At 48.1% G+C, this 19392-nt stretch overlaps 1 long non-coding RNA gene across 2 annotated transcripts; it reads right to left on the bottom strand.

The window, feature by feature from the left end:
* On the bottom strand, nt 4762–6478 carry INSYN1-AS1 (INSYN1 antisense RNA 1). 2 transcript variants are annotated; one of them, NR_120353.1, is made up of 3 exons: nt 6378–6478; nt 5704–5811; nt 4762–5094 (listed from the first exon to the last, which is right to left on the bottom strand). It is a non-coding gene; the product is annotated as an INSYN1 antisense RNA 1 (long non-coding RNA). The 2 variants fall into 2 exon arrangements; NR_120352.1 differs by lacking the exon at nt 6378–6478 and adding an exon at nt 6108–6350.
* Between the last annotated feature and the right edge of the window lie 12914 nt (nt 6479–19392).

The following is a 19392-nucleotide window of genomic DNA, read 5'->3' as shown; positions in this document are numbered from 1 at the left end:
TTTGTGGGGACAGCCACTGTCCTCTAGCTCTGCACAGTTGGGTAGTTAGGAGAAAGAGAGAAACAGGCCTCTATCTTCTGGAAGGTCAGCCCCAGTGGGCCACCTGACACACCTGAGATCCCACAGGGCCCCAATACAGGAGGCAGAGTCAAGGATGTAGATGCCGGGAGCGTGCCTGACGTCTTGAATAAATGCCCAAGGGATAAAGTCAACCCTAGAAGACCATCTATATCCTTTGCCTCAGGGAGCCAGGAGGCCCATTTAGCTCTGAATGAGGCAAGCCAAGTCCTCACCTCCTAGGACTTCACCGGACATGGTGGTCCTGTCCTTGGAGCACTGCCTTACAGTAGCATTAGTTATATCTCATTGCCTCTGCCCCTCTGGGGGCTTCACATGTTCCCAGCACCTGGAAGAGCAGGCCCTCAGTGAGGGCTTGTAGATGAAGAACCAAATCCCTCAGGTTCTTTGAAAGCAGTTCTCAGTCCCCCAACTCTTCTGAACTCCAAACCAAATCCTCCTCCCCTGGCTTGGGTTCAAGTCTCATTCCTGGCTGTAGTCCTCTCTGGACGTGCTCCTTCTTAACGCTGAGCCCTTCGCTGGATGCAGAGGGCAGAAGATGGGTCTCTGACGGGATCCCCATCTTCTTATTTCAGCACACACACTCCTGCCCTCAGGACAAGGAGGGCAAGGATTGCTGGATGCAGCCTTCCCTTTGCTGCAGCTGAAACAGCCTCCTGGCCTCTAGCCTCCAGCCCAGCCTAGGAGGACAGGTCATCCTCTTTCCCGGAGGGATCTGACAACAGATGGGTCATGGCCTCCAGGGACCCCCGAGGAGCAGCAGAGCAAGGCTCTGCAGGGAGGAGGAGTAACCAGGCTCGCTGCATGAGCTGGGCCTCCATTTCTCCCACTCCTACCCCCAAAACAGCTCAATCATTCGTGACTGAGTTCACAGCATTCCGAAGTAAGGAGGCAGAAAAGGAGGGAGGAGGGGAGAGAAGAGAGGGACATCCTTTCAGTTCTCACTTCTCTTCAGGAGAAGGTTGACTCAAGAGCTATTATTAATAGTAAATTAAATAGTGCAGTTATTCTGAATAATAAAAAGCTCTTCTGTTCCAAGTTTTCACTGTCCTCTCTCGAGGGAAATACCTGCTGTGGCCTGAGATGTGGCATCTAGTGAATAGCATTAATAGGACAAAGCAGATGCTCCCGCTGTGCCCAGTCACAGGCCACCAAGTCCCCTCCAAAATGCCTCCTCCACCCGAGCATCAGGGTGCAGGGAGAAGACAGGCTTCAGGTGCCCCAGACACCCCAGATCACCCCGCGATGATCACACCACAGAGCCCAGGCTATGTTCACCTCAGGGTGGAAACCTTGTCGATGGCATCCCTGCTGGTGAATAGTGGTCCTCCCACTTGCTAGCCGTGTGACCTTGGGCAAGCCCTCGAACTGTTCCATTCCCTCATCTGTAAAATGGGGATAATGATAGTATCTCTCTCATGGGTTTGCTAGAAGGATTAAGGTTAATATGCATAATATTGTTATTATACGTATAAAGGGCTTATAACTGTTCCTGGCATTTAGTGCAATGTAAAGGTTTCTTAAACAAGAGGGTGCCAGGCTGTGCAGAAGGCAAGCCCAAGATCTAAGACTCCATGCGTCAGGTTTGTTGTGATTGAAACCATTACAGCAGAGAGCTCCTCAGTAGGTGTCAGCCCAGGCTGATGAAGGGGATGCAGCGATGTGATGTCCCGCTCCTCTCTGGGCCTCAGTTTCTCCACCCATGCATGGGGGACAAAGGTGTATGAAGCGACAGCTATGGCCCAGCCTGTGCTGACCTGTAACTTATAAAACAGCTAATGTACATTGAACTCCGACTACGTGCCAGGCACTGTGTTAAGTGCTTTATAGTCAGTCAGTCATTTCATGTAATCCTCACAACACCTCCATAGGTAGGTACTCTGTTCCACAGATGAAGAAATTGGGTCTCAGAGAGGCTAAGTAACTTGCCCAAAATCACACAGTTAGCAAGAGGTGGAGCTAGAACTTGAACCCGGGTCTGCCAGACTCCACAACCCAACTCCGATGCCCTTGAAGTCATGTCACCTAACCTCTTATTATATAGTAGCCAGGAATGTGTTGTGTAACTCAGGATTGCTTGGCAAAAAAGAAGGGGCAGGTCTGGGCTGCTCCTGTCCCACCCCAGGCTTAGCAGCCAAGCAGCCCTCCATTTGATACAGGTTGAACATCCCTTATCCAAAATGCTTAGGATCATAAGTGTTTCCGATTGGGGATTTTTTTTTCAGATTTTGGAATATTTACAAATAGTTACTGGTTAAGCATCCCAAATCTCCAAATCCCAAATCTGAAATGCTCTGATGAGCGTTTCCTTTGAGCATCATGTCCACGCTCAAAAAGTTTCAAATTCTGGAGTATTGCAGGTTTCAGATTTTCAGACTTGGGATGCTTAACTAGTATCAGCTTTTCTGAAGAGGTGAGGACTCTAGCTGGCTGCCTAGTAGTTGAGGGAACACAGAGAGTTGAAAATGGATCCCATGGAGAGTCGGGTGAGAAGACCCTGGGGGAATCAGGGGATGCACCCAAGGCCCGGTGGAGAGCCAGACACAGAGCTATTGCCGGCCCAGGCCCAGAGCAGGTGCCAGCATCTGGGATGTGCAGGAAACCCCAGGGATGCAGCCTATCAGAGCCCCTCCTGCTCACTCCCTCCCATCTACCCCGAATCATCCGGTCCCTCCTGGGCCCACTTGGCTTCCTCTCCTGCATCTCCAATGGCAGCAGCTTTTGAGGGGGGAACACTCTCCCCTGGGGCCCGGATGCTGTGCTAAGTCGTTGTTTCTGAGGAGGAAACAAGGCCGACTGCATTTTCTAAAGAGGCTCCAGGGAGCTGCAGCCACCTGTGAGGCCTGCGACTGGGGCCTCTCAGTGCCCACCACTGGGACAGCGAACCCTGCAGGTCACAGGCGGTGGGTCAAGTAGGGGGTCCATGAGTGTGAACAAAATGTTTGACCTAGGGCTGATTGAGCAACATTTGTGATGGGGCAGACACTGGGCTGGGAGATGAGATGGGGTGGATCAGGCAGGTCCTCAACCTCCTGGGGCTTCTAGAGATAGAGGTGAACATAGAAACTAACCTCCCCCTGGTAAGTAGCAATGACGCAGTAACTGAGCTTTGTGGGGTCGGAAGAGCAGGGACTGATAAGTCCTGCCTGGGAAGGAAGGTGGAAAGGACATTCCAGGCAGGAGAGCAGCCAAGTGAGAGGGCCGGAGGCATAGGAGATGTGGGGGAGCCTCCTTCCAGGAGTTCTGGTCCTATATGGTTCTAGGTGAGAGATTGGAGGTGATAAGTGGTGTGGACAGAGGCCAGTTGTAAGAGGCCTGGAAAATGCACACAGAAGCTCGAGTTTCCTGCTGAAGGCAATGGGGAGCCACTAAAGGGAGTCATGTGATTGGACTGGCCTTTAGAAAGATCACCCTGGGACAAGCTGACACCCCATCCAGCTCTCCAGAGCCCCAGCTCAAGCCCTTAGGCGTCACAGTGCTCCTGCCTGACAGGCCATCCTGGATTAGGGGGTGATGCGGGAAAAGTTATGAGTTCACATTCATGGGACTCAGCACAATACAGATCCAACCAATACAGATTCTCCCTGGCAATGGATCTCTTCCGCAATTCAAAGATGTCTACATTAGAAGTGATGACGTTTACATATCAGAAAATCCACCCCTATAATTAATCATGTCAATTACCAGAAAGGAAATAGTTTTGTGATCATCTTAACTGACATCAAAAACTCATTTGACAGAACTGAATATCCATTCTGCTGAAAACCCTTAGTAAAATAAAAATAAAAGAACATTTCCTTGGCATAATAATAATAAAAAAAACCTATCTGCAACCAACCGTCAACATCATTCTTAGCAATAAAACACCTAGCCAGGGTCATTCATATTTTAGTCAGGGTAGAATGAGAAAGCCTGCTATTAACACAATTATTTTACATTGTTTTGGAAGTTTTAGCCAAGGCAAGAGTACATTAATACACAAAAGGAAACACAACATTTGGAAAGGAGGAGAAATTGTCATCATTATTTGTACATGATATTATTGTTTATCCAGAAAACTCAAGAGAATCAACTAGAAAAGTAATAAGAGACTATGAGCGAGGTCAGTAAGATGACCAGTTTTGAAATAAATACACTGGCAAAGTCCAATTAGAAACCTTAAGAAGAAGAAAACTGAGGAGTGAGGCAGTAGCTCAAGGGTACTCAAGGTTGCAGAACAAGCCCAACCACCTCAAAGGTCTCCTGTTAGGGCCCAGCCTAGCAGGGAGGGGGAGAGAAAGATGGGGTGCACCAGCTGGAGCTGCAGAGGGCAGGGAAGTGGGGAGGAAAGGGGTATCCTGAAACATCTTTCTGGGCTGGTAACAGTTGGGCTTGGACTGGGAGCTGCCCTGTTGGGGGAATATCCAACCCTGTGGGCCTGGTTACCAGCAGCCCTGGCAGACAGCAGCTCAGGCCAATGGGATGCAGGCAGTTCTGAGAGCCGGTACCTGACTGCTGGGGGCTCCAGGATGCAGCAAGTCCAGGGTAGAGGACTGCAGACCCTGATGGAGAACTGTCATCCACTGCGGGGCACAGAGTCCAGCAACGAGATTCCAGCTAAGTGTCGCTGAACATCTGATGGGCTGATTACAAATTGGTCCCCTGGATTCATTAAAGTAGATTTCCCAAGAGAAGCTGTCCACGGCAGAGTCACACCCAGCCAACCTTTGAGCTCCATTCTGATGTCAGGGGCTGGCTCCTCAGCTCTCTGCCTCCAGGCTCCTGGCAACTGGGCCCTTTCTTGCTTGGGGTGGCATGATTCCCCTGGAGGCATCCGGCAGGTCTGCAGATGCACAGGCACTAGATGCAGTGCCCCCAGGGCCATTCTCAGAAAGTGAAGCTTGATTTTTTTTCTCCATCCATGGTGTGAGTATGGCATGAAATGCATGCACGGCTCCTCTCACATGATGAACAATCTCTGGGATTTACACCCAAACTTCTCCTTTCTCTCTTGTCCTCCTCACTCATGGGCCCCATCTGCATGAGAAGAAAAGAGAAGAAGAGAAGAGAGGAGGAGAGGAGAGGAGAGAAGAGGAAAGGAGAGAAGAGAAGAGAAGAAAGAAAAAGAAAAAGAAAAAACAAAAATCAAACAAACAAGACATCACTCATTCCCCCCGTCTACCCTCCCACCCCACCCCACCCCATTTGCTCCCCACCCACTCATACAACTGCCCCTGTCCAGGGAAAAGACAATTACTTCCAGATAAGATGTTGCCATTTACAAGGAGATTTCATGCAAAGCAATGGTTGGAGCTTCCATGGTAGAATTTTAGGACAATATGTAGGAGTACAATATTTTAGACATTGAATTATGTGAGGATCAAATAATTGAAAGCTGGAATTTTTTTTTCTTTTTGAGACGGAGTCTCGCTCTGTTGCCCTGGCTGGAGCACAGTGGCATGTTCTCCACTCACTGCAACATCCACCTCCCAAGTTCAAGCAATTCTCATGCCTCAGCCTCCCAAGAATCTGGGATAACAGGTGGCCACCACCATGCCCGCCTAATTTTTGTATTTTTATAGAGACGAGGCTTTACCATGTAGGTGAGGCTGGTCACAAACTCCTGACCTCAGGTGATCCGCCCACCTTGGCCTCCTAAAGTGCTGGAATTATAGTCATGAGCCACCACGCCCGGCCAAAAGCTGGAAATTAATGAGTTCAATGCAGACTTCAAACTTCTTGAGGAGGCTGTGGCTGTTGAGTGGTGGAGAGGAGAGGAAGGGAAGGAGGGAGGAAACAAACACATATTGAGCACCTACTCGGTGCTTTCCCTGTGATGTCCCATGTAGGCCACAACCATAGAGTGCAGGCATTATTTATGCCTGGTTTCAAACCCTGGTCACTTGGATCCCATGATCCTGTGTTCCCAAGCTCCAGCCCCCAGCTGCTCCTGAGAAAGTCAAGCTTCAGAGAGCAGGGCTCCCACTCCCAACCAGATGCTCATGGCTTTCTCCTTTCACACCCAGGCCTCTACTCTGCTGTTCACCTACCTTGGTCTTTTTATCTGCCTTGGTGCCTGGAATTACCGGATCACTGCTTCCTACCTTGGGGTCAGAATTGCCCTCCCACAGGTACTCTGTGACCACACAGACATCCCTGTGGGGGCCACACTCAGCACCAAGCCCTCATGGAAAGCAACTTTTTAGGCAGGATGGGGTGGGGCACAGAAAGGAAAGGTGGGGCGGCGGTTTCTGTTGCAGGTCCTGGCCTGGCATGTCCCCAGCCCCCAACCTTCCCTCTTCAGCAAGCTCACTGATTACCTGGAGTCCTCATCCTCAAGGCTGGAGTCTGGGAGAAGACTCTTGGAGGTGGGTTTGTTTGGCCTAATTCACCAAGGCCCCCTGGCTCCCTTGGTCTTGTCACCATGGAAACCTTGTGAGGTCACCAGCACCATTCAAATAAGAGAAAAAAACGTTTCTCCCTCCCACAAAGTGAGCTCCTAGTTGACTCCAGTGGCTTCTATGGAGGAACCGGAGGGCGGGGCCCAGTCCGAGGAAAAGACCTGGCCCAGCCCTCAGGGATGGGTTAACCCCTTGATGCCCAGATGATGGCTGCTCAGACTCACGCCTTCTGCCTCTCTGAAGTTTCTCAGGCATCTGTGCCCCGGAAGAGTGAATCCTGCAGCTTTGTATACACACCAAACAGCTTCATGCTATACCTGGAAAGGTGGGGAAGGAGCTCTGAATCCAGGCAATTCTAGTGAACAAAAACTGCCTACTGGAGATTCAGGGAGCTGTTGAGAGGCAGGGAGCCGGGGGAGAGAAGGGAGCTGGAGCTCTGGGTCCCTGCTTCAGACCCTTCTCCCTCTCAAGCAAAGGTGAGAGTAGGAGCTGCCAGGTACAGCTGGTACAAGAGCACAGGGTATTTTACCTCTCCCCATGCCCATGCATTCTAAGGTTGGCTCAGCTACTGAAGGCCCTTCACACCCGCTTCCTCCATGCTGCCAGCATGCCTGGGACACTTGCCTGCACTGGAGAGGGCCTAGCCTACCTTCTGCCTCCATTTGAGGCCAGCATGAGGGCCAACAGCTGGCTCCTCATCCACTTTTCTTCTCTAGCAGGCCAATCGGCTCTGACCTATCCCTCCCAGGACCCAGAATGCCTCCCCGTGCTGCCCTCCTGGAGTCCACATTCTTCTCACTACTTCCAGGACTCTTCCCAGCACCCACTCCTGCTGCACGTCTCCCCCACCATCCCCTCTGGCCAGTGGGTCTCCTCACTGTTCTAGGTCTAGAATATGCTGCTTCCTTTATTCACATTCCTAAGACAACCTCTCTCTCCCTTTGTATCTATTTTAATCCTGTATTGCATTCCTTCACCATCATCTATGCACTTTCACCTTTCTGTTTCCACAACACCCCAGCACTACCATCAGCACCAGGCTTCCCATCAGCACCAACTCCACTCACCACTATCGTGAACCACCACCATCCCCCTTCTATCACGCTGCCCCTCACCACTGTCACATCTTCTCACCATTGTCACCACCATCCCACAGTCAATGCCACACCACCATTTCTACCATCACCAACTGTCAACACCATTCTCACCACCTTCTTAACCACCATCACAACATAGCTGTGACCACAACCACCATTCCTACCACCCTACTGTCAGTACCACCACCACCATCTCCCTTATCAGTGCTGAACTCACTATTACCACCACAGTTACCATCACCATTCTTACCACCATCATAAGTCATCATCACCAACATTGTCACCACTACCACCACCATAACTGCCATCCTATTGTCAACACCAGCACCACCACCATCTCCATCATTGGCACTGCACTCACCGTCAGAACCACTGTTAACCTGTTACTACCATTGTCCATACCCTCATCAATATCACACTGTCATGACCACACATTGGTATCATCATGACCATGCACTCATCGCCACCACCATCATTTGGAGGGAAATAATGTGTTCCTTCATAAAATCAATCAAGCAATCAATTTCAAATCCTTCAAGAGAGGCCATAAAAGAACCTACATAGAGTGAAACAGCTGGACCTCACGGCCCCCATTCTTGCTCCCTGGGATTCTGTATCCTTTGGATAATCTCACACTAATTGGCTACTGTTGCCACCAAACTGGCCCTAGGAGCTCTTTCTTTAACACCTCAAGGCACAGCTGAGATAGAGCTAGAGCATTCATAGTAAGTGGGACAATAATATTAAACAACTGATGAGAGTATAAACTGGCACGAACTTCCTGAAGAGTAGCTGAACAATACAAGAAAAATCTTTGAAAAGTGCATTCTCAGAAATCTTACTTCTAAGAAGTTATCATAAGGCAATAATTAGATAAATTTGCAAAGATGATGTGTGGATGTTATAATAACAATCATTGGAAACAGCCTAAATGTATAGCAAAAAAAGAGATTGTTTAAAGAAACTATATGGATTAATATGCAGCCATTAAAACAGAAAATATAGATTTGCCTATTGACATAAAAATATGCTGACTCTATATTGTTATAAGCAAAAGCAGGTTTCATATCAGCATTTATAAAATTATCCTCTAGTTCTAAAAGTGTAATGTCTTCACGAAACAAGATGAAAATATTTTCACACCTGGCATCAAAATTCTTCTTAGATGGAAAACTGTCTTTGGGAAAAAAAAAAAACTTTGGTAAACTATCTAGACATACAGTGATTGCAAACCACTCAGCATGAGACAAGGAGAGGAATTCCTTTTGCTCCTGAGGAAGATGGCAGAGAAAGGTGAGATGATCAGAGGAGAAGGGAGAGCCAAAGAAGTTAGCATGGAGGAGATGGTGCAGATGCCAAGAAAAATGCCTAGTGAGGTGGGGAGTGGGGGAAGGCCTTTTAATTTCCCAGATCATTGCTCTTTCTCCAAAGTTGCTTTTGTGGCCGGGCCCCAGAGCTCACGCCTGTAATCTCACCACTTTGGGAGGCCGAGGAGGGAGGATTGCTTTAGACAAAGAGTTCAAGACTAGCCTGGGAAACATAATGAGACCCCCGTCTCTACAAAAAATATAAATAAATAATTAAAGTTGTTTGTGTGGCTACAGTATGAACCATTTCTTCTTTTCCCCCATATCAAATTTTCAGTCAAGTCTACTGAATGCTCAGAGTTTCTGAATGAAGGATTTTTCTGTGAGAATTGGAAAAGGGGCCAAGTTTCAGGTCTGATCCACCCCAAAGTGGTTCTTTCTGGTGGAAAAAAAATTAGGGATGACTTATATATTTGTTAGTTTTATTTGTATCTTCTAATTTTCTAAAAGAGACAGAAAAGAAAAATAGTAAATATCAGGGACCACAAATGGGGAATACATCATAAAGTCAGAGGGAAGTGAAGAATCTGGGTTACAAAATGTGGCCTATGTCCTCTCCCATAGACCCCAGGCTGTTTGCACACTGTGGGCACTGTCTTGATACCCAGCACCCAGAAGCTTCTATCTAGATGTCTCAGCACTTTGAAGCCTGATCCCAAGAGAGCAACGTCCTGAGGAGACACAGGGAATCCCTGCTCGAATGCCTAAATTTAGCCCCATCTTCTCACTCTGATGAGAAGCTCAGAGGACCCACATCTTCCTGCATGGTGAACGACAGGAGGTGATCCCCCTTTTCAGGGGTGTCCTGCGAGTCACAGGGACTTAGGCATGTAAGCCTTCACAAGATAGTGTCTTAAGATGTCACCACAGCAATCCTAATAATCATATAAGAGGTACACACACAATCGCAGTGTGGTCATTGGTTTTGGTACACCACCAGCACCATCATCATCACCATCGCCACCATCGCCATCATAACTTCGAGTGACCTTTTAATTCAAGCAGTGTACATCTGTCCAGTTCTGCCCACCTTCTGGGCCTGAAAGGACACAAAGGAGAGGCAAGTGGGGGAGTGCTGTTTCGTTCCCATCTCCCAACATGTCCCCGATCTGCACAAAGCCCTGTGAAGTTCATTCACTTGGTATTCAATGGAATAATGTAGTTGGTAATGAATTTGTTTTGCATTCAGTTGGATAACACTGTTAGTTATGAATTTATAATTTGCAGAGGGATAAGGCTTTTTTTTCTTCAAGGCGTCAGAGAAGCTGTTGCTTACAAACTTGTAATTCGCCGCTGCAAATCCATCTGTAAATGACACTATTGCAAGCTGAAAATCTCCCAGGCACAAGGAATACAGCCTCAGAATTAAACTGTGTGTTTGACAAGAACCTGCTGTTCTTGTCCAGCCTTGGCCCCCTTGTCCCGCCCTTCCTCCTGAGTTCAGCCTCAGTCTTGCCAGCTTCCTTCCCAGTCAGTTCAGCCGCCACCACCCTCACTCCCCAGCAGTCCAGCCTCGAGCCCTCTGCTCCTCTCCTTCCATATCCAGAGGGGTGTAAATAGCCCAGTCAAGGTCACATAGCTCTCTGGGGGAAAGTGCAGACAGGCTCAGCCAGCACTAGCATAACCCATGTCTGTGGGATAAACACAGAACTCCATTGTCCATTTCTAACTCTCACTGGGCCTTTGTTTCCCCATCATTGATGTGCTATGGTTTACATGTGTCCCCCAAAAAGCATGTCTTGGAAATTTAGTCCCCAATGCAATAGTGTTGGGAAATGGGGCCTAATGGGAGGTGTTTAGGTCATGAGTGCTCTGCCCTCATAAATGGATTCATGCTTATTATATAAGGGCTTGAGGCTTCAAGTTCAATCTCTCTTGGCCTCTTTCAACCTCTTGCTTTCCAGTATGGGATGACGCAGCAAGAGGGCCTCAAGAGATACTGGCACCCTGGTATTGGACTTACCATCCTCCAGAACTGTGAAAAATAAGTTTCTTTTTAAAACAAATTATCCAGTCTGTGGTATTCTGTTACAGCAACACAAAACAGACTAAGACAGACCCCAAGCCTTTTAGAAGTATTTTCCCAGATTTGCCAACTAGGGCATGAATAGGAAGTGAGTTTGCCCAAAGAAGCCTTCCAAAGAGTAGGAAGTATCACCTAACCAGGACTGAGCTCAGAGAATGGGGTAGGAGGGTTGGGAGTCGGAGGTGGGAGATTGGCTCAAGAACCAAAAGGGCAGAATTGGGTGGGGGACAGTGACTTGTGGATAACTTGGCACAGATTCTTTTTTTTTTTTTTTTTTTTTGTTTGATGGAGTCTCTCTCTTGTCAACCAGGCTGGAGTGCAGTGGTGAGATCTTGGCTCACTGCAACCTCCCACTCCCAGGTTCAAGGGTTCTCCTGCCTCAGCCTCCTGAGTAGCTGGGATTACAGGGGCTTGGCTATTTTTGTATTTTTAGTAGAGATGGGTTTCACCATCTTGGCCAGACAGGTCTTGAACTCCTGACCTCAGATGATCCACCTGCCTTGGCCTCCCAGAGTGCTGGGATTACAGGCGTGAGCCACCGCATCCGGCCTTGGCACAGATTCTATATGGAGCTGAACTTCTGTGCCTCAACCTTTTCTAGCATCTTGTGTTTTACGCTTTTTGTCTTATTTCCTGTGTGCTTCCCTCCATTATTCACTGATTTGTTCTTTTTTTAATAAAAGTTACTTCCAAAGAGTTAACTTTGAATGAAAATTCAAAGGAAACACAATCCATAGCTGGGCTAATGAATAAGATTGGTGCTTGTTAGGAAGTCAGACCTGGAAACAAATCTGGGGGACTCATCACCAGAGAGTCCATCAACAAGCATTCATAGTTCTCCATCCCCAGAACACTCCAGACGCATAGCTAAAAGTGAGGGACACAAGAATAAACAAGACAGCATGGCCTCTGCTTTAGAAGCTTACTGCTTAGTGGGGAAGACGGGCCATTGAACACACAGCTACAATAAAGTGTGGTTACTGTTTTGATAAGAATTTGTGTGTGGTGGTGCCCCATGGCAGAGGCATGAAAAATAGTCTAAAAGGGTTTAAGATGAGACCTGCTGCTAATGAGCTGTGCGACCTCAAGCAAGTTGTTTAACTACCCTGAACTCCATCAGTTGTATTCATTGAGCAAGTGTATTGCAGTCACTTCATATTGTAGTCACTTCAAGGGATATACATTCTAGCAGGAAATGTAAGTGTTATGCTGTGACAAATAATGGGAAGGAGGACATCCCCCTGGGGGATGGCTTTCTGGAGGCTTGAAATTTAAGTCAAGTCTTCCAGGGTGAGTGGAAGTTAGCTAGGTGAAGAAGCAGCAAGAGTGCCCCAGGCAGAGGAAACAGCATGTGAAAAAAAAAAAAAGAGTCAAGAGGCAAAAAATGTGCACATCCAAGGCAATGAAGGCAGGCTGGAGTGACTGAAGGGCAGAGAGCAATGAAAGTGAGGAAAGAGGGGCACAGGAGAGAGCCACGGGAGCCAGACCTCAGGGTCTTGTGAACGTGGTGAGAATTTGGGGCTTGGAAGATGTGAAATCGTGAGAGGTTTGGAGCAGGAGAATGATATGTTAGACTGTCACACTCCAAGTTTTTTAAGAATACTGTGCTCCTATGAGAAGAATATATGGAAGAGGACCAGAGAGCACATGGTGGGGTCTGGGGGTTTCACTGTCTGGTTGAGATGCAGGTGCTCAGACAAAGGTGGTAGCAGCAGAGAATTGAGACAGGAGGGATCTTCAGGAGGAGAATGAGCAAATGGAGGCGGATTTGAGGCAGGCAGGAGAGAGGGGAGGAAGATATAAAGGAAGACTCACAGAGTTCTGGTAAGAGTGGCTGAGGTAGGGAACATGGGGAAGAAGAGTGTCTTAGTCCATTTCTGTTGCTACAACAAAATACCTTAGCCTGGGTAATTTATAAACAAAAGAAATTCATTGCTCACAGTTCTGGAGGCTGGAAATCCAAGATCAAGATGCCAGCAGATTCAGTGTCTGGTGAGGGCCTGCTCGCCAGAGATGGTACCTTCTCCATCCTCACGTGGTGAAAGGGGCAAGCCAGCTCCCAAGGGCACTAATCCCATTTGTGAAGGTGGAGCCCTCATGATTTAATCACTTCCCAAAGGCCCCATCTCTTAATACTATTACACTGGGGATTAGGTTCCAACACATGAATATTTGAGAGACACCACATTTAGACCATAGCAAAGAGTTTATCCTGAGGTCAGTTTTGAATCTGAGCTTCTCGGAAGACATGAAGATGGATCCATGAGTCTGGAATTGGAGAATCTGGGCTGGAGATGTGGATTTGGGATTCGTGGCCATATTGGTAGTAACGGCAATCAGCAGAGAAGGATATACAACTGAGGAGGCAGAGAGAGACATGAGAAAGCAAAGGACCCAGAACTGAGCCTTGAGCAACTCCAGCATCCAAAGTTGGGCAGTGTGGAAAGTGGGCAGAGGAAGCTGAGAGCCAGCCATGAACATGCAGCCTGCAGAAATCCAGGAAGGCTGGAAATCCCTGATGCCGAGAGAGGACAGGCGGCTGAATGTCCAAATGCAGTGAGAAGACAAGTCAGATCAGGGCTCAAACGTGTCCTGTGGATTGAGCATCTTAGAGGTCACGGGTGTGTTTAGCATTTAAAGGCTTTTCAGGGGAGTGGTGGAGGCGGATGCCAGATTGCAAGGAAGAGGGATGAGTGAGAGCCAGGGAAGGAGAGGCAGGGAATGGGGACAACTCTTGGCGTGAGTTTGGCTGTGGAAAGAGGAAAGACGAGACAGTACTTGGAGAGGGAAGTGGGATCTTACTTGTAAGATGAAAGAATTTAGAGAGCCAGTTTAAATGCTGATGGGAAGGAACCAGGAGAGACAGAGAGAGAGAGTAAGTGAGAGAGAGAGATTTAAGGATAAGAGAATGGGGAGTAGGGTAATGGGCAGCCTAAATTCCCCAGAAGGCAGGCAGAAATGATAACAGCATACTTTTTCCATGCCGTGGCAAGCTAACTGAAGATTCTTTGAAAGTACTCTGCAAAATATCATCTTCCTGTAATACCCCAACATCCCATTTTCAGAAGAGGAAGTAGAGGCACAGAGAGGGCATATGCTTGGTCTAAGTCACACAGCAGGGCTTTGCATACAGGTCTTTCCTGGGGAAAGTGATGTCTGAGTGTTAGAGTTCTGGGGAAGGCCATTAAGGTTCAGGGTACGTGTTGGGGGGACCCCTGAGTTATGTGCCATGCCCCTTCCTTCCAGTTTTTTCCACCTTAGGGTCATCTTTAAAATAGTGTGTTTAACAAAGATGCAAAATAAATAATTATTTGAGAGAGTCACTCAATATTTACAAAACATGCCTTGAGAACTGACTTTGACTGGCTCTACTGGATGTCAAGGGCATGGAGGTGCTCTCCAGCAGCATGTGGTCTGTGGAAGAGAGCTGGATTCACAATGGCAAGGAAGTGTGGCAGACACTGTACTTGCGGTGGACGAGGGCTCTGGGGTGGTGCAGAGGAGGGACCTTGCACACTGGAAGAATATTTCAGGAGGGTCTGGGGGTTGGTCTCGAGAAGAGAGAGGAGAGGAGCATTCCAGGCAAAGAGGAGGGCAGGTATAAGGTGGTGGTGAGGAAAAAGCTGAAAGCAGTTCAGCCTGGCAGAGGCACAGAGAGCAAGAGGCAATAGAGATGAGGTTGGAGAGCTAGACAAGGGCAGGCTCCTGGAAAGATGTGGACGCCAAACTAGGGAGACCGGACTTCCTCATAAAGACAGGGAGCTGTGGATGGTCATAAGTGGGTAGATCAGAAGGCTGGTACCAGCAACAGCAACAGCAGACTTCATAGGGTAAGTGTGAAGATTAGCAGATCCATCAGGAGGCTGCTGGCTAATACAGGGGCTCATGGGTGCAATCAAGAGCCTGGTTATCGACAGGGAGATAAAGTGGGTGGAAGCAACAGGACTTAGTAACTGAAGAAATGTGGAAGAGCTCTGGCTCTAGGGTGGCTCTAACTCTGGCTCTGACTCTAGTGCGATCACAAGTTTGTGGCGTGCATGGAGGAGTAGAGGGCATTGACATTCTCTGAAATTAGGAAGACAAAAGGGGATACATTTGGAGGAAAGGTAATGGGTTCCAACTTGGGCATGTTGAGTTTTAGGTGCCTGCAAGACAACCTCATGAACTGTCCAGTAGGCAAGTGGCAATATGATCTGAAGCTTTGGAAAGGTCTCCTCTGGAGACAGTGAATTGGAAGTCAAAAACTTTTTGGGAGTGTGAAGAGCTCCCTTACGGAAGGTGTATAGAGTGAGAAGAGAGTCTAGACGAGAATCTCGAGGACCCAGCTTTTTTTTTTTTTTTTTTTTTTTTTTTGAGACGAAGTCTCACTCTGTCACCAGGCTGGAGTGCAGTGGTGCAATCTTGGCTCACTGTAACCTCCATCTCCCAGGTTCAAGTGATTCTCCTGCCTCAGCTTCCTGAGTAGCTGGGACTACAGGCACGCACCACCACACCCAGCTAATTTTTTTGTATTTTCAGTAGAGATGGGGTTTACCCTGTTGGCCAGGATGGTCTCGATCTCTTGACCTCGTGATCCACCCCCCTCAGCCTCCCAAAGTGCTGGGATTACAGCCATGAGCCACCGTGCCTGGCCCTGAGGACTTAACTTTTAAGGGGCCAGAGAAAGAAGATGAACACCTGAAGCCAACTGAGAAGCAGCAGCCAGAGAGGCAGGAAGGGAATCAGTAGAGAAAGGAGACATGAGGCCACACAGGACAGGGGACCCGGAAGTAAGACAAGCTCAGCAGGGTCAGGTCCCCCAAGGTCGCTGCCTTGGATAGGGGAAGAAAAGTGTCTGCTGGTCTTAGCAAGGATAATGTCCTGCACAGTGAGGGTTATTCCAGCAATGCAGTGCCAGCAGGCGCGGGTTACAAGGTTTGAGGAGTGAGTGGGAAGTGAGGAAGTGGAAGGAGTCAGTGTAGAAAACTCTTGAGAAACTTGACTCAGCTGGGGAGATTATTGTGGGCAGCAAGATGACAGAAATGTCCTCAGACATGGCTTTCCCAGTGTGAACCCGACACTGTCCAGCCACAGAAGGAGATATGTCACCCTGTCATTCTGAAATGGCCTTTCCTTGGCTATTCAGATATGATTCTCTATAACTCCTTTATTTGGGGACTTTGTCATGAAAAGTTTGCCTCTGATCCCACCTGACTGCCACTCATCCCAACCTTTGTGTTTAGAAAATTTCCCTAAGCCCCCAATATCAATAATAATAGGTAATACTTATCAAACGCCTACTAAGCCCTGTGCTGAACATGATACATGAACTGTTTTATTTAGTCCTCAAGACAGCTACCAGGAAGGTATTTACAGAACGAGAAACTTAGGCTTGGGAAGATTAAATGAGTCACATGGTTAATGGAAAAGCTGGCATTGGTGCCCTATCATTCCAACTCTACTGCCTAAGTGTTAGGCAGTGCTTCCATTTCTCTCTGTAGACTCTCTCTACTGTCTCTATTATCTGTTCGAAGCCCAAACATGCCCACTGTCACCCCGGCACTGCTTCCCTGGTGTCAGGATCCATTGCTTCTGAGAATCTAGCTTGCAGACTGAATCCTCGTTCTCTCCTGAGCTGCATGCCAGTCTCAGTCCTGCGCTATTAGAGAGAGTAGACTGCAGACTAAATAAAAACAGTTACCATTTCTTACCATTCTTCCAACTCCTGCTCCCTCACCCCCACACCCCAGGCACTGTGCTTGGTGCTTTTTGCTCCTTATCTCATTCCATCCTCAAAGCAACCCTAGGCAGTCACTAGTACTTTGCCTATTTTATAGACAAAGGATCTCAAGTTCAGAGAGGGCAAGTAACTTGCCTGAGATCACACAGCTAGCAAATGACAAAGCTGGGGCCCAAATCCAAGTTGGCCTGTTGCAATAATCTCCCAAATGCCCCCACTTCCCCTCCATGGCCACAGGGCAGCAGGTCCCAACCCTCTGGCTTCAGGATTTGGAGACATCTTACCCCATCTGGGAACCCAATTACTCAGTCAATCATTTAGTCAGCTCATTTAGTATTTCCTGAGTGCATCTGTCAGGCTCCAGTTGGTTACACGAGACAGAGACCCCACCAAACGAACTGGAGCAATATGAGGAATTTATCAGCTCTTAGAGATGAGTAGGATGTTGTTGCAGCTCTCCAGACTGAAAGAAGAACTGCAGGAGTGAAGGCCATGAGAACAAAAACTGGGACTCAATGCTGCTAGCATGCTCTCTAAATTCCTCTCCTCTCTGCTGCCTTGCTCAGCTTCCTAGATTGAGTGGGAAAAATGGCTTGTCAGCAGGTTTGGACCATAACATCCAGTTTTGCACCCCACTAGGAAGAGGGGTTCTTCCTCCCAGCATCCACATATCAATCCCAGGGAAAGAATCTGATTGGTCCTGCTTAGGTTATGTGCCCACCCCTTGGACCAATCACTGTTGCTGGAGGATGGGGTTCCACGGTTGGTGCAGTCTGAGTCACATGCCTAGTTAGTGGCAGTGGGATAGGGATGGGTGGGAGTAGTGGGCACTTTAACTGACAACCCACTAGGATTATGTGATGACAGCAGGGAGTTTCCCCAAGAAAAGGAATGCTAGAACTGGATGGTGGAAAACAGGCAGACAGGTAAAAATCGCTGTCTACTGTCTACTGCAGTGGTCCATGTGAGAGATGGGCAGACACACACAAGCCCATCATGAGGAGTTCACAGACTCACATGGAAATAAGGCTTACAGACATGAAGCCATGAATAAGAGCTGATAGCAGCTACCATTTACAGAGCACCTACCAGGTGCCAGGCACTGGGCCAAGTACTTCCATGTGCATTATCTTATTCCATGTTCACAGTGACCCTGGAAAGTAGTCATTATTGTCCTGATTTTTCTGAATCAGAGAGACAGTGAAATACATCCCCCCCCCTTTTTTTTTTTACAAGAGACCCAATTCAAGAAAGAATTAAAATGTTTATAGGCTGCTATCCTTGCTCAGAGAGGTTAAGTGACTTGCTCAAGGTCACACAGCTAGCACATTAAATGAATGCCCTGGGAAGCATTTGGTTAAGGGCAAAAAAAAGTGCTTCCATTTCTCTCCGTAGACTAAAGCACTAGGGAAGGCTGCCTAGAGGGTGGAGGTTGGCGGTGAATAAGCAGAGATCTAAAGGATGGGACATCTAGGCAGGTGGCCAGGGAGGTTGGGTGGAAGAAAGGATGGATCAATCCCCAAACACTAAGGAAGGCAGGTCTGAGCACCACCCAGATACTATCTATTCCCTCTCGCCTGTGGCAGCTCTTTGGAGATTTACAATCAGAGACCCCTTCTCCTGAGTCTCCTCTTCTCTAGCCTGCTCTGACCAGCCCTACCATCCTTCATAGAACATATACACCAGTCACCTCCCCTATTCTACTTGGCTGTCCTCCTATGGACACACCCAATGAATTGAGGTGCTAGGCACAGTTTGATCCACACAAATGACAGAAGAAATGTTACCTCCCTTTTTCAAAACACTGTGCTTCTATTAATGAGACCCGAGATCAATTATGTATTAAGCAGTCACAGTCCACCCTGTCCAATCAAGCTCACTGTCTCCTAACCTTGCCAGTTCAAACACATCTCCCTCATCCTGGATGAGGGCGGATGATTCCCTGGACCTAAGACTAGAAACTCTTTTTTTTCAGGCTTAGCCCATTTTTGGTCTCGGCTGTTCCTTAGCATCACTGCTTCCACAAAAGTGATTGGTGAGACTGTGTGATTCCACTTATATGAGGCACCTAGAGTAGTCAGAGTCACAGAGACAGAAGATAGAATGGTGGTTGCCAGGGGCTGGCGGGGGGAGGGGTGATGGAAAGTCACTGTGAGATGGAATAAGATAATGCATGTGGAAGTACTTGGCCCAGTGCCTGGTGCCTGGTAGGTGCTCCACAGAGAGTGGCTGCTATCAGCTCTTAATCACAGAGTTTCAGTTTGGGATGATGAAAAGGTTCTGGAGATGGGTGGTGGTGATGGTTACACAACAATGTGAATGTACTTAGTGCCACTGAACTATGCACTTACGAATGGTTAAGATGGTAGATTTTAGGCCGGGCGCAGTGGCTCACGCCTGTAATCCCAGCACTTTGGGAGGCCGAGACAGGCGGGTCACGAGGTCAGGAGATGGAGACCATCCTGGCTAACACGGTGAAACCCCGTCTCTACTAAAAACACAAAAAAATTAGCCGGGCGTGGTGGTGGGTGCCTGTAGTCCCAGCTACTTGGGAGGCTGAGGCAGGAAAATGGCATGAACCTGGGAGGCGGAGCTTGCAGTAAGCCGAGATCGCGCCACTGCACTCCAGCCTGGGTGACAGAGCGAGACTCTGTCTCAAAAAAAAAAAAAAAAAAAAGGTAGATTTTATGTTACGCATATTTTGCTACAATTTTTTAAGTGATTG

The sequence above is a fragment of the Homo sapiens genome, chromosome 15, assembly GCF_000001405.40.
Source record: "Homo sapiens chromosome 15, GRCh38.p14 Primary Assembly".
In the NCBI taxonomy this organism is placed as follows: domain Eukaryota; kingdom Metazoa; phylum Chordata; class Mammalia; order Primates; family Hominidae; genus Homo; species Homo sapiens.
The sequence above is the reverse complement of the archived record's forward strand: the minus strand, read 5'-3'. Positions and strand labels throughout refer to the sequence as shown.